The 14,514-nt window shown below is 51.2% G+C and overlaps 1 protein-coding gene across 6 annotated transcripts in view; it reads left to right on the top strand.

Moving 5' to 3' along the window:
• The window catches only part of TNFRSF8 (TNF receptor superfamily member 8), an 80,905-nt gene that overhangs the window by 40,209 nt on the left and 26,182 nt on the right, over nt 1-14,514 (top strand). For all 6 annotated transcript variants that reach the window (NM_001243.5, XM_011542441.4, XM_047434793.1 and 3 more), the window contains 5 exons: nt 868-1,020; nt 6,055-6,145; nt 6,530-6,693; nt 8,387-8,503; nt 12,066-12,218. In NM_001243.5, the coding sequence (NP_001234.3) occupies nt 868-1,020; nt 6,055-6,145; nt 6,530-6,693; nt 8,387-8,503; nt 12,066-12,218 (678 nt within the window). The remainder of the gene's footprint in view (nt 1-867; nt 1,021-6,054; nt 6,146-6,529; nt 6,694-8,386; nt 8,504-12,065; nt 12,219-14,514) is intronic.

A 14,514-nucleotide genomic window follows, 5' to 3' on the forward strand; every position in this document is an offset into this window, starting at 1 on the left:
CAGGCTGGAGTGCAGTGGTGCAATCACAGCTCACTACAGCCTCAACCTCCTGGGCTCAAGCGATCCTCCCGCCTCAGCCTCCCAAGTAGCTGGGACTACAGGCATGTGCTACCATGCCTGGCTAATTTTTGTATTTTTTTTTTGTAGAGACGGGATTTCACCATGTTGCCCATGTTTTATAGAGATGGGATTTCACTATGTCGCCATATGAGGGCAAATGATCCTCCTGCCTCGGCCTCCCAAAGTGCTGGGATTAAAGGCGTGAGCCACTGCACCCAGCCTCCCCTGTCACGAACACCTTGCATTAGTGTGGCACAATTGTTAGCATTGATGACCTGATAATGATGCATTATTATTACTAACTGAAGTCCATAGTTTACAGCAGGGTTCACTCTTTGTGTTGCCCATTCTAGGGCTTTAGACAAACGGATGATGACCACGTGCCCACCATCACCGTGGCATCCAGAATATTTTCACTGCCCTAAATGTGTCCTGAGCTCGTTGGTTCACCTCTCCCTCCCCCTGAACCTCTGGCAGCTACTGATCTTTTTACTGTCTCGATAGTTTCATCTTTTCCAGAAATGTCATGTAGTTGGAATGACAGTGTGTGGCCTTTTCAGACTGGTGTCTTTCATTTAGCAATATGTATCTAAGTTTCCTCCATGTCTTTTTTTTATTTTTTTGCATTTTAAAAAATTGGTACATTAATTTAATTTTTAATCCAATTTTAGTGGTCACCAGGGGGTTGAGCTGGGAGGCGGAGGCTGCGTTGCGGACTGCACCTGCCCTCTCCCCCTCATCTCAAGAGCTATCTGGAGAGACGCCTTCCTTCTGTTCCCCTCTGTGACCCCTGTCTGTGTCCCTTAGACGACCTCGTGGAGAAGACGCCGTGTGCATGGAACTCCTCCCGTGTCTGCGAATGTCGACCCGGCATGTTCTGTTCCACGTCTGCCGTCAACTCCTGTGCCCGCTGCTTCTTCCATTCTGTCTGTCCGGCAGGGATGATTGTCAAGTTCCCAGGTCAGTGTCCCCACCCTTAACTCAGGACAGAGATCTATGCTGTTGCTGCTGCACCTTCCGCCCACCCCAGTGCACTGTTGACTTCCGACCTCCCGCTTCCCGGAGACTGTTGGACAGATCATGTCTCCTTTGGCGATGGGCCAGGGATGTACCCAGCACCCAGCCCTTCTGCTGCCCTCCCCCACCTTGTGTTCCAGGTGCAGAGAGACCCTGCTGTCCCCTGGCATAGACCTGGCTGGAGGAGGTCTTGCTTTGGTTTGAGGCTCAAGGCAGAAGTTATCTGATGCCCCATAAACAAGAAGGGAACCTCAAGTCTCTGTCCTGGGAGTTTCCTAGAAGATTGGGGTTGGCTTCCCCCTTTCAGGTTCAGGGCATTGGGAGTTAGAGGTGCTGAGAGATCTGGCCCCAGGCTCAAGACTTGAGAAACTTGGGTTTCTTTTCCAACTTATCGTGTGACCTCAGACAAGTTTCTTACCTCTCTGACTTCTACTTCTCTGATAGTACAAGGTGTCAGGGCTGCTTTTAACCAGAGAAGGGGTATGGGCCACAGAACCTGTCTGGGTGGAGTTGGGACCATCTTCCAGAAGGGAGGCATGAGGAGTGGGTGGGCTTTGGAGCACAGCACAGAGTGGCTGCCGCAGTTGCAGACTGTATGGAGCCGGGGAGATGGGCTCAGAGGCAGCCCTGTGTCCACTGTCCACTGAGGAGAAAAGTGCCACAAAGTGCCTGTGGTCCCTCCCCCAACCAGGTCCTTCTCTGGAGTCCCATGCCCTGTTGTGCAAACCTGGGGATTGGCAGTCACCCCCATCGCTACCACTGCCTGCCCCTTTTATCCTTCCCTCGTTCCCTCATCCTTCACAGCCAGCCCATCCTCGAGTCCTGTAGATTTGGCCTCCAATTATCTTCCCCACCTTCTCACCCCGAATACCTTCTCTTATACAGCCCCCATGGCAGACAGCCAGAATGACCCTTGCAAGACCAAATCTGAATCTGATCCTCTCTCTCTCTCTCTCTCTCTCACTCACTCACTCTCTCTCTGTCTCACACACACACACACACACACACACGGATATATACCTGAAATGCTTCAGTATCTTCCTGTTACTCTAAAGATAAGGACACAAGGCCAGGTGTGGTGGCTTACGCCTGTAATCCCAGCACTTTGGGAGGCCAAGGCAGGCAGATCACTTGAGGTCAGGAGTTCAAGACCAGCCTGGCCAACATGGTGAAACCTCATCTCTACTAAAAATACAAAAATTAGCCAGCCCTGGCAGCAGGTGCCCTGTAATTCCATTTACTCAGGAGGCTGAGGCAGGAGAACCACTTGAACCTGGGAGGCGGTGGTTGCAGTGAGCTGAGATTGAGCCATTGCACTCCAGCCTGGGTGACAAGAGCAAGACTCCGTCTCAAAAAAAAAAAAAAAAAAAGAAAACTCCAGGGACTCACCACGGTGTCCTTCAGGTCCCAAGGCCCCCAGTTGACCTGCCTTCTTCTCTTCATGTTTCAGAGCCTTCTTACATTTATTTTGTACATAATGTCCAGGGCTTTTAGCGGTTCTTGGCGGGAGGATGAGGGGAAAACGTGTCTAAGCCATCTTCCCAGAATCAGAGTCTCAGGATGTGATCCCAACACAGCCCCCTCCTTTCTCCCAGCTTCAGCTCTCAGCACCAAGCCCTCACTCTCTGGGCTCCACCTGCGCTGCCCTTCTTCCAGGTTGGAGGACGTGTGTGCTTCTCTGTCCCACCCGCCCTCTGCACGTGCTGTTCTCTCTGTCGGAGACACCCTTCCCTCCCCATTCACTTAGTCAAATCCTACTCAGCCCTGAGCTCTCCACCCCACTTCCTCAAGAGGCCTTCCCTGGCCTCTCACTAGGGAAGCTGGTAGCACTGTGTCCTTTGCAAATGTGGATACATACCTCTCTCTGTCTCTTGGCTTGATCAATGTCTGTCTCCCTCCCTGGCTGGAAGCTTCCTGAGGGCAAAGACCATGCCCCTGGTGTCCATCAACATCTCCCCACTGCCTGATCAAATGCTAGGCATGGCACCTGCTCCCCATAGAGATTCATTGAATTAAGATATGGGGACACCTGACAGGGAGCTCCGAGCTGGTGGGGGGGTGGAGTTCAAATCTGGTCAAATTCCAGGGTCGGGGGAGAGCGCTCTGCTAAGGAATGATGGAGGCCTCCACCCATAAGCAGGGGAGAGTGCTGGAGTGGACTGGGCAGCAGATACCTAGGATTTTGCAAAGATTTGCAACTGTGGGGCATGTTCCCACCCGCCTCTGGACCTCGGTCTCCCCATCTCTCAAATGAGGAGGTATAACTGAAGGCCTTGGGGGCCTCTCCAAAAAGGCCAAACTTCCCAAAAGTTTCCAGCTCAGAAACTTCTGCATCTTTGTGAAAAACATCTTGAGTTCAGTTGTTCCAGCCAAGGCTTCCTGCTGGAGGGACTGTCTGGGCAGTGTTCCTGAGACTGCCACACAGCGGCGCCAGAGGCCTCCCTTTGCTGCCCCTGGACCCCAGCTGCCCAATGCAGTGCCCCTGGCCCGTGGCACGTGGCCACGCACTTAAAATGCAGCTAGGGGCCGGGTGCGGTGGCTCACACCTGTAATTCCAGCATTTTGGGAGGCTGAGGCAGGCGGATCACTTGAAGTCAGGAGTTTGAGACCAGCCTGGCCAATGTGGTGAAACCTCGTCTCTACTAAAAATACAAAAGTTGGCCAGGTGTGGTGGCGGGTGCTTGAAATCTCAACTACTTGGGAGGCTGAGGCATGAGAATTGCTTGAATCCGGGAGGTGGAGGTTGTAGTGAGCTGAGATTGTGCCACTGCACTCCAACCTGGGCGACAGAGTTAGACTCTGTTTCAAAAAAAAAATCCGATAAAAAATAAAAAAAATGCAGATACGTCTGCATTGAGAAGTGCTGTGTGTACAATATGCACTGGATTTCGAAAACTTAGTATAAACAAGAATATAATTAATTATTTTTTATATTGATTGCCTGCAAACATGGTAATATTTTAGATATACTGGGTTAAATAATGAAAATTAATTGCACTGATTTCTTTTTACCTTTTAAAGTGTGGCTCCCAGAATATTTGAGCTGGCCTGTGTGACTCGCATATCTCTGTTGGACAGCACTGTTTTAGAAGTGTTCTAATCTCAGCTGCCAAACCCTGGTTAATCTCTGGGGTCCCCTGTGGACTCACCCATGGGGCAGCTCTCCGGGGTTGTTGTTTTTTTTCCAGCTGTAAAATAGAAAGCAGTTTCTGCCTCCAGTCAGCCAAGCCCCACGCTAAGAGCCTTCACTGGCTGTCTCTCCTGAAATTCTCACGTCTCCATAAGACAGACAGTATTAGCCCCATTTTCCAGGTGTGGAAATCGAGGTCCGGAGATGGGAGGTAAATTGCCCGCGGAGACAGAGCAGGAAATGTCTAAGCTTAGGTGTCATCACTCCACCATGCCACAGAACACGAGAGGTCAGCATTGCTCGCGCTCACCTCCACGGAAAGCTTCAGAGCGAAGTCCCACACATACAGGCCACCATTTTTTTATTTTTTTTTTTTTTGTGATGGAGCCTCGATCTGTCACCCAGACTAGAGTGCAATGGTGTGATCTCAGCTCACTGCAACCTCTGCCTCCCGGATTCAAGTGATTCTCCTGCCTCAGCCTCCTGAGTAGCTGGGATTACAGGTACCTGCCACCATGCCCGGCTAATTTTTTGTAATTTTAGTAGAGATGGGGTTTCACTATGTTGTCCAGGCTGGTCTCGAACTCCTGACCTCATGATCCGCCCACCTCGGCCTCCCAAAGTGTTGGGATTACAGGTGTGAGCCACCGTGCCTGGCGACATACGGGTCACCTTCTAAGTGTTGGGATGGGAGTCCAGATGGGTGTAAGGACATAGCATTTACCATATGTCATGCAATGTGATGGGCACCTCACGTGCACTCTTCTGTTTATCCTGACGACAGCCTGGTGAAGAGTGTATGATTATAGTCATTTGACTGGGCTGGGCACGGCAGCTTATGCCTGAAATCCCAGCACTTTGGGAGGCTGAGGAGGGTGGATCACCTGAGGTCAGGAGTTCGAGACCAGCCTGGCCAACATGGCGAAACCCTGTCTCTACTAAAAATTAGCCGGGCGTGGTTGCAGGCACCTGTAATCCCAGCTACTCAGGAGGCTGAGGCAGGAGAATTGCTTGAACCTGGGAGGCAGAGGTTGCAGTGAGCTGAGATTGCATCACTGCACTCCAGCCTGGGCGACAGAGTAAGACTCTGTCTCAAATAAATAAATAAACAAGTAAATAAAATGGACTTTCCTGGCACAGTTAGGACATAGCAGGCAAACTGAGGGGCACTGGCTAGACGATGTGTGTGTTTTCTTCTCCACTCTGCTTCTGTCCAGCATTCTTCAGGACTCCTTGGATTGCATGTAGCAAAATCCCCAATTTTTTAGCACATGTAGCTTAAAAGTCTGGGGATAGCTCTGAGAAGCTTCAGGCATGGCTGGATCCAGGGCTCCATCTTGCCCCATCTCTCACCTCTATTTCCCTCTCTGTTGGTTCATCGGCAAGATACTTACAAGCAGCTCTGCCCAGCGCCAGTGGGAAGACAGCTTCCCTTTCTTACATTTTTAATATCCAAAACCAAAACCTTTAAATCCCAAACCAGAATCTTTAAATTCTACCTCACAGGCTTGGGTCACATGTCCGTCCCTGAACTGGCTCATCGTGGCCAGAGGAATGCAACGGATTGATTGGTCCAGCCTGGTCTCATGGCCACTCGGGAAAGGGGGTTCAGTCGGTCCCAACCCCTAACCACAGATGCTGAGATCAGAGGGAGAGTAATTCCCCAGGGAAAGATAGGCTGCTTTACTCTGAAGGGGAACGGGTGCCAGGCGGGTGCCACCTCCAGATGACTGCTGTGTTTTCCAAGGGCCCCATCTCCGACTCTGGCCTGTGGTAGTGAAGGGTGTATTCCGGGAGACTTTGGGTCCCCAACACTGATTCTGAAGGCACTGCTGTCCCCCCTGCAGGCACGGCGCAGAAGAACACGGTCTGTGAGCCGGCTTCCCCAGGGGTCAGCCCTGCCTGTGCCAGCCCAGAGAACTGCAAGGAACCCTCCAGGTGACTCCCTGGCTTTGCCTCCTCCTCTTCCCCCAAGCTGGCTTTCAGATGAGGCTGCCCCACCCCACAGGACGCCCATGGTACAACTGGGCTGGGGGTGTAAGCGGGATTCAGCCCATGGTGTCAGCACTTTGGGGTGCCTCTCTGCCAAGCCCCTCAGATCATTTGAGGCCCTAGGGTGTGCCCAGCCCTGCCCTGAGCACATGGGAGACCCACAGGGCTTAGAAAACACAGGCCTTGCTCCCAGGAGCTTACAGTGGGCCCGCCAGAGGCAGTGGGCCAAGGGCCTGGGACCCCATCTCTGTGGAAACTGTTACTCGTGAGCACAGGCCTCCCTTGCCCCATTGGCAGAATTATCAGTCCCATCTCTGGCTTCTTCCCCAGTGGCACCATCCCCCAGGCCAAGCCCACCCCGGTGTCCCCAGCAACCTCCAGTGCCAGCACCATGCCTGTAAGAGGGGGCACCCGCCTCGCCCAGGAAGCTGCTTCTAAACTGACGAGGGCTCCCGACTCTCCCTCCTCTGTGGGAAGGCCTAGTTCAGATCCAGGTAATTTCCCCATGAAGCTGTGGGTCGTCTCCCTGGGGTGCTCGATTGGTGGATGGCCCATGAGTGGGGGTGTTTGGAGCAGGCGGGCAGTGATCTGTGGTCTTTTCCTGGTGGGGAGAGAAGACGGTGGTAAGGTATGATCTAGGGCTGAAAGCATTGAGGGGCAGAGGTAGACACCAGAGGGCTCATTCATTTGCCAGCAGTGCAGAGGGCCTGCCTTGTGCCGGACACCCGTGCCCCATCTCTCCCTCTATTTCCCTCTACGTTGGTTTGTCAGAGGGAAATGGGTCCCACTCTGCTGTTGTGACACTTGCGACTCAGCTGGCCAGCCTCTGCACGTGTCCATCTGATGCCCTCCTGGTCTCCATGGCGAAGGGTCGACCCTCAGTCATTTTTCTTTTTCTTTTTTTTGAGACGGAGTTTCGCTCATGTTGCCCAGGCTGGAGTGCAGTGGCGCAATCTCGGCTCACTGCCACCTCCACCTCCTGGGTTCAAGCGATTCTCCTGCCTCAGCCTCCTGAGTAGCTGGGATTACAGGTGCCCACCACCACGCCTGGCTAACTTTGTATTTTTAGTAGAGATGGGATTTCACCATGTTGGTCAGGCTGGTCTCGAACTCCCGACCTCAGGTGATCCGCCCACCTCGGCCTCCCAAAGTGCTGGGAGGATTACAGGCGTGAGCCACCGCGCCCAACCTAGTCCCATTTTATTACTGAATAGCCCTCCATGGCGTAGATATGCCGAGCTCTGTTTATCCAGTTTTTGAATATTTGGGTTGTTTCTGCCTTTTGACTATAATGAAGAAAGAAAAATACATCTTTGCGTGTATGTGCTTTCCTTTCTCTTGGGTTGGTTTTGTAAAAAAAATGGATTTGTGGGACTTCTAACAATTTTGGGTTGGAGCTCTTTTCCTATAGTTGTACCTTCTCCCGCTCCATGGCTTTGCTTATTCTCTCTATGATGTCTTTTGTTTGTTTGTTTGTGGTTTGTTTTTTTGAGGTGAGTCTTGCTCTGTCGCCCAGACTGGAGTGCAGTGGCGTGATCTCGGCTCACTGCAACCTCCGCCTCCTGGGTTCAAGCAATTCTCCTGCCTCAGCCTCCCGAGTAGCTGGGATTACAGGCGCCTGCCACCACATTTGGCTACTTTTCTTTTTTTTAGTAGAGACGGGGTTTCACCATGTTGGCCAGGCTGGTCACAAACTCCTGGCCTCAAGTAATCCACCCGCCTCAGCCTCCCAAAGTGCTGGGATTACAGACGTGAGCCACCGCGCCCGGCCCACACCAGTCTTTAAAAGAGGGAGGCAGGAGGCACCCAGCCCCTCCCTGCCCAATACCATTCTGAACAGGAGTTACGCTAGTGTGCTGAGCTCTCAGGGAAGCTGTTCCCAAAGTTTTGAGCAGGGGAGTGACAGAGCCATGAGACAGGGTTGGGGGAAGCTGTGGCATGGTGGCCTCAGGAGGAACAGTGGGCAGGGGCTGGTTGGGGGGCAATGAGTACCCTCCTCTCGTGTGGAATGCACGCAGCATTCCTGTCCTCTCTGAGCCTCAGGACTCCCTCTGAAAGGCTGGACTGAGCTGACATGCGGAGTTTGGGAGCTGGCCACGGTGAGGGATGGGGGGCTTCAGGGTTGGGTGGGGAGTGAGGCCTTTGCCAAGGCGGCCTGGCCTGCAGCTTCTCTGCTTCTTTCCCCAGGTCTGTCCCCAACACAGCCATGCCCAGAGGGGTCTGGTGATTGCAGAAAGCAGTGTGAGCCCGACTACTACCTGGACGAGGCCGGCCGCTGCACGGCCTGCGTGAGCTGTTCTCGAGGTAAGGGCCTCGTCCCTCCCCGGGCCTCAGTTTACCTCTCTGCATTTTTGAACCGTGAACTTCCAGTAACTACTCCCCCTTATGTTTGTGGGTTTTTGATGGGGGTCGCCTCTTTTCAGAGGGCTTCCATTGGCATATTATTTCCTTCCAGGAAGCGTTTGTGAATCACCCACCTGTTCCAAACTCGGCTCATCAATGTTTGTAACTACTCTGTGATTCAAGCATTGTGATCATTCCCCTTTTACAGAGGAGGAAACGGAGGCTTTGGGAAGTCAGGGAACTTCCAAGGGCTGTGGGCTGGAGTTTGAACCCAGACAGGTGCCACCAGGTTCCAGGTTCTCGTCCACTCCACTCGCTGCCCCTATGAGCCACTTATTCTTTTTTTTTTTTTCCCAGACAGGGTCTCACTCCTTCACCCAAGCTGCAGTACGGTGGTGGGATCATAGCTCCCTGCAGCTGTGACCTCCCAGGATCACATGATCCTTTTGCCTCAGCCTTTCAAGTGGCTGGGACTATAGGTGCACACTACCATGCCTGGCTAATTAAAAAAAATTTTTTTTCATACAGATGGGGGTCTCACTATGTTGCCCAGGCTGCTCTCGAACTCCTGGACTCAAATGGTCCTCCCACCTTGGCTTCCTAAATTGCTGGGATTATAGGCATGAGCCACCATGCCCGGCCTGCGAGCTGTTTTGACAAGCACTTACTGAGTGCACAGACACAGCACGATGCAGGTGTGGGGCTTCCCTGTGCCCAGCCCATCACAACCTCCCAGCGCCAGCAGCACCCCGAGGGGCATGTGGGCAGGGGGTGTTGCTCAGGCCACAGGCTGCTGTGACTGTTAGAGGCCCTGGCTATTCACGGAGGCCACTGGGAATGTGTGTCTGTCTCCTTGTCCAGAGCTGCTTTTGGGCAGCAAAGCAGAGTGAAGGGTCAGGGGAGGCCAAAAAGAACCACAGACACTGTTTGTTGTCATTGGAGGTCTCTGTCCTAGTTACTAAGGCTGCATAGCAAATTTTCTTAAAACTTAATTGTGAAAACAAATCATTCTTTGTACTCACAGATTCTGTGAGTCAGAATTCAGACAGGGCACTGCGGGGACAGCTTGTCTCTGCTCCACAATGTCTGAGGTCTTAGCTGGAAAGCCCAAAAGCTGCAGATCAGGAACTTCTGAAGCTTCATTCATTCACCTGCCTTGGGGTTGATGTTGGCTCCTGGCTGCAGCCTTGGTTCCCTTCCATGTCGGCCTCTTCGTGTCTTACCTGGGGCTTCCTCATGGTCTGGTGGTTAGGTTCTAAAGGCGAAGTCTTTTTCTCTTTTTTTCTTTTTTTGTATTTTTAGTAGAGACGGGGTTTCACCATGTTGGCCAGGCTGGTCCCAAACTCCTGGCCTCAAGTGATCCGCCGGCCTTGGCCTCCCAAAGTGTTGGAATTACAAGCATGAGCCATTGCCCCCGGCCATAAAAGTCTTGAGAGAGAGAGACAGACAGAAAGAGAGAGTGAGAGAGAGACAGAAAGAGGGAGAGAAAGAGTGAGAGAGAGAAAGAGAGAGACAGAGAGAAAGAGACAGAATGAGAGGGAGAGAGAGAGTGAGAGAGAGACAGAAAGAGGGAGAGAGAGAGACAGAAAGAGAAAGAGACGGAGTGAGCGAGAGAGAGAGAGACAGAAAGACAGAAAGAGAGACTGAGAGACAGAGAGAGACAGAGATAGAGTGTGACAGAGAGAAAGACAGAGAAAGAGAGAGAGAGAGACAGAAAGAGAGAGAGAGAGACAGACAGAGGCAGCAGCCACCCCTCCTTTTATGACCTGGCCTTGGAAGTCACACAGAACTTCTACCACTTTCTGTTTGTTGAGGCAACCACAAATGTCACTTGAGACCAAGGGAAGGAAAACAGTTGTACTTCTTGACAGGTAGGTGGCAAAGGCTCTGGAAGGGCCAGAACATCACTGCAGCCATGTTTTGGGGAAATACAGTCTGCCACAACCACCATGTGGACATATGGAGAAAGAGGTGTTGGCTCTGGGCCCAGTAATTCCTTCAGCTCTCCTAACTGAAACCCCACGAGGCAGTGGAGTGGTGTATTAGTAGCTAAAGGCATGAGCTCTAGAACCCGAGTGCCGGGTTCAGATCCCGCCTCTCCCACTTGATAGCCTATAACCTCAAGCAGGTTTCCTAACCTCTCTGTGCCTCAGTTTCCTCTGCTGCAAAATGGGCATAGTATTATCTATCTCAGAGAACCATGTGAGAATTGAATACATGATTGTAGGTTAATCTGGGTAGAGTGCTGAGACTACTGTCTCACACATACTCAGTTATCTTAAGAGCTATAATAATAATGATAATAGCTGCCATTGTCCCAAATGGTTTCATTCATTGCTGAGCTCACACACACCCTTTGCACAAATTCCCCAAATCCTGCCCAGTTCCCTTGCTCTGGATGTTGTAAGAAGAGACTGTCCAGCCCTTATCATTATCATGCTGGGTCTCTAAGTATCCTGCTGATTGAGATCTACCCTCGCGGAGAGGTCCCATTTGCCTAATCTACTGATGCAGTCGTTCTGTATTTACCTCTAAGTGGAGCGTTGCAAAATATTCCCGAATACGTACAAATGCATTATTACACTTATTAAAAATAATACCTCTAACATGGTTTTTTTTTGCTTTTGGAGGAAAAAAAATCTTTTTTTTTTTTTTTTTTTTTTTTTTTTTAAATAGACAGAGTCTTGTTCTGTCGCCCAGGCTGGAGTGCAGTGGCACTATCTTGGCTCACTGCAACCTCTGCCTCCCAGGTTCAAGTGATTCTCCTGCCTCAGCCTCCTGAGTAGCTGGGATTACAGGCACGTGCCACCAGGCATGGCTAATTTTTGTATTTTTAGTAGAGACGGGGTTTCACCATGTTGGTCAGGCTGGACTTGAACTCCTGACCTTGTGATCTGCCTGCCTCGGCCTCCCAAAGTGCCGGGATTACAGTCGTGAGCCACCGTGTCTGGCCAAAAAATCTTTTTATTATTAAAAATTTCAAACATATTCAGATGTAGAGTGAGTCAGAGATGGCTGCGTACTATCACCCAGCTTTAAACGGTTATGGAGTCATGGCCAGTCTTGGCTCCTCTGCACCCATGCCCGCTCACCCCGTCCCCTGGAGGACTTTCTTTTAACAGCTTTAGGGAGAGATAGTGGGCATATGGTAAAGTGCATAGATTAAAGGATGCAATCTGATAAGTTTTAACAAATGCATGCAGCTGAGCAACCAGCCATCCCCCTCTAAAAGTTACCTCGGGTTGCTTGTCACCATTTCCCATCCCCTGCTTATGGTCACCATGCAATAGCTTGCATGTAAATGCGACATACAGAATACCCTCGCTTTTTGCCTGCCTTCTTTCACCCTGCAGAATTATTTTGAGCATGCTGGGAGAGCTGCTCAACGGCATAGTCAGACGAGCATTTATTTTCTTGTTGGATGACCCTTGGACAACTGCTTCTCTGTCTTCCTGGGGGCTCTCTGGACCCCCTGCCCTTGCCATACTGATCTTTCTCCGTGATCCTCATCTGTGTCCCTTAGATGACCTTGTGGAGAAGACGCCATGTGCATGGAACTCCTCCCGCACCTGCGAATGTCGACCTGGCATGATCTGTGCCACATCAGCCACCAACTCCTGTGCCCGCTGTGTCCCCTACCCAATCTGTGCAGCAGAGACGGTCACCAAGCCCCAGGGTAAGCAGTTCCCACCCCAGGCCTCGACCACAGGGTGGAGTCTGTGCCCCCACTGTTGTGCCTCTCCCCACCAACAGCCAGGGGTGGAGGCAAATGACCTACACCCTCGGCTGTTCATTAGGTCAGGTTTGGGTTCTGGTTATCCTTTGAGTAGTCAGACTCAGTGAATGGAATGATAAAATCCAGTTTTAGCATTTTGGCAAGAGATTCTGTTGATTAAAAAAAAATTCTTCCTGAAATTATTGGGCTGGTAAAATCTTTATATTTTTGAGATGGAGTTTCGCTCATGTTGCCCAGGCTGGAGTACAATGGCTCAATCTCGGCTCACCGCAACCTGCACCTCCTGGGTTCAAGCAATTCTCCTGCCTCAGCCTTCTGAGTAGCTGGGGTTACAAGCATTCGCCACCACAGCCGGCTAATGTTGTATTTTTAGAAGAGATGCGGTTTCTCCATGTTGGTCAGGCTGGTCTCGAACTCCCGACCTCAGGTGATCCACCCACCTTGGCCTCTCAAAGTGCTGGGATTACAGGCCTGAGCCACCATGCCCAGCCCCGGGCTGGTAAAATCTTGACCTGTTTGCAAGGCTGTTTTATTGACTTAGAGAGATGAATATCAAGTTTCTGAAGAGATTTCTAACAGGACGGTTGGCTTTACCAGTGTGCAGGAAACTAAAACCCTGACAGTTTTTTGTTGTTGTTGTTTTTTGTTTTTTAAGGGCTTTGAGAGATTTTAACAAATCTCCAGGTGGTTTAAAACAGATGGAAGAGTGGTGACAAAACCAAGGGGAATGGCCAGGCGTGGTGGCTCACGCCTGTGATCCCAGCACTTTGGGAGGCTGAGGCAGGTGGATCACTTGAGGTCAGGAGTTCAAGACCAGCCTGACCAACATGGCAAAACCCCGTCTCTACTAAAAATACACAAATTAGCTGGGTGTGGTGGTGGGCACCGTAGTCCCAGCTACTCAGGAGGTTGAGGCAGGAGAATCGCTTGAACCCGGGAGGCATAGGTTGCAGTGAGCCGAGATTGCACCACTGAACTCCAGCCTGGGCAACAGGGCGAAACTCTGCCTAAAAAAGAAAAAAAACCAAGTGGAGGGAAGGTCACCCAATGTGACTCTGTGAGGGCTGCCAGAGAAGTGAGGGGTGACTTGCTTCTAGGACCCCCAGAGAGGCTCTGGGCTTGGAAGAGGCAGGCAGATGAAGAGCGGGAGGGAAGTTGAGAGGTGTGAGGTGTAGTGGCCTGGGACTACTAAATCTTCAAACACAACTTCAAAATGTATTACAATGGCATGGCATGGCCACTGACCAGTTTGCACAGATGATGCCTGAGTTTTTAATCCCCAGTATTGTCTTTTTTTTTCCTCTTTTTTTAGAGATGGAGTCTCGCTGTCTTGCCCAGGCCGATGTGCAGTGGTGTAATCTCAGCTCACTGCAACCTCCGTCTCCCGGGTTCAGGCAATTCTCCTGCCTCAGCCTCCCGAGTAGCTGGGATTACAGGTGCCCGCCACCACACCCAGCTAATTTTCATATTTTTAGTAGAGACGGGGTTTTGCCATGTTGGCCAGGCTGGTCTGGAACTCCTGACCTCAAGTGATCTGCCCGCCTCCACCTCCCAAAGTGCTGGGATTACAGGTGTGAGCCACCGTGCCTGGCCAACAATTGTCTTCTTGAGTCAGAACATTGAAGGAATATCCGGGGAAAGTTCGGGCCACTAGTGGGGTGCTGTCACTCTGTTTGTAAAGCCCTCTTTACTTGGGTATTTGGAAGTGCACCTGTCAACAGGCTAGCCACACCCCATCACCCTGAAATGGAGGCTGCCAGCTCACACTCTCCGCCCATGGGCCCAGGGTTCCCTGGCCAACTTCCTACTCAGGGAAGAGACCCATTGTGAACAGGACATACTAACACAGCAGAAGAAACTGTCCCCGCTCAGTGACTGGAATATTCAGTAGAGTCCTTAGGATTTTATTTTGTTTGCATAAATGTATGGGGTACAAGTGTAATTTTATTACATGCTTAGATTGGGTGGTGAACTCAGGACGTTTAGGGTATCCCTCACCCAAATAGCATACATTGTACCCCTTAAATAATTTCTCATGGTCCACCTACCTATACCTCCCACCCCCTCACCCTTCTAAGTCTCTGTTGCCTTTTATTCCACTCTCCAGCTCCGTGTGGACACAGTATTTCACTCCCACTTAGAAGTGAGAACAGGCAGTATTTGTCTTTCTGTGTCTGAATGTCTGCACTTAAGAATATGGCCTTCAGTTCCATCCATGTTGCTGCGAAAGACTTGA

Source organism: Homo sapiens, chromosome 1 (genome assembly GCF_000001405.40).
Source record: "Homo sapiens chromosome 1, GRCh38.p14 Primary Assembly".
Lineage (NCBI taxonomy): Eukaryota > Metazoa > Chordata > Mammalia > Primates > Hominidae > Homo > Homo sapiens.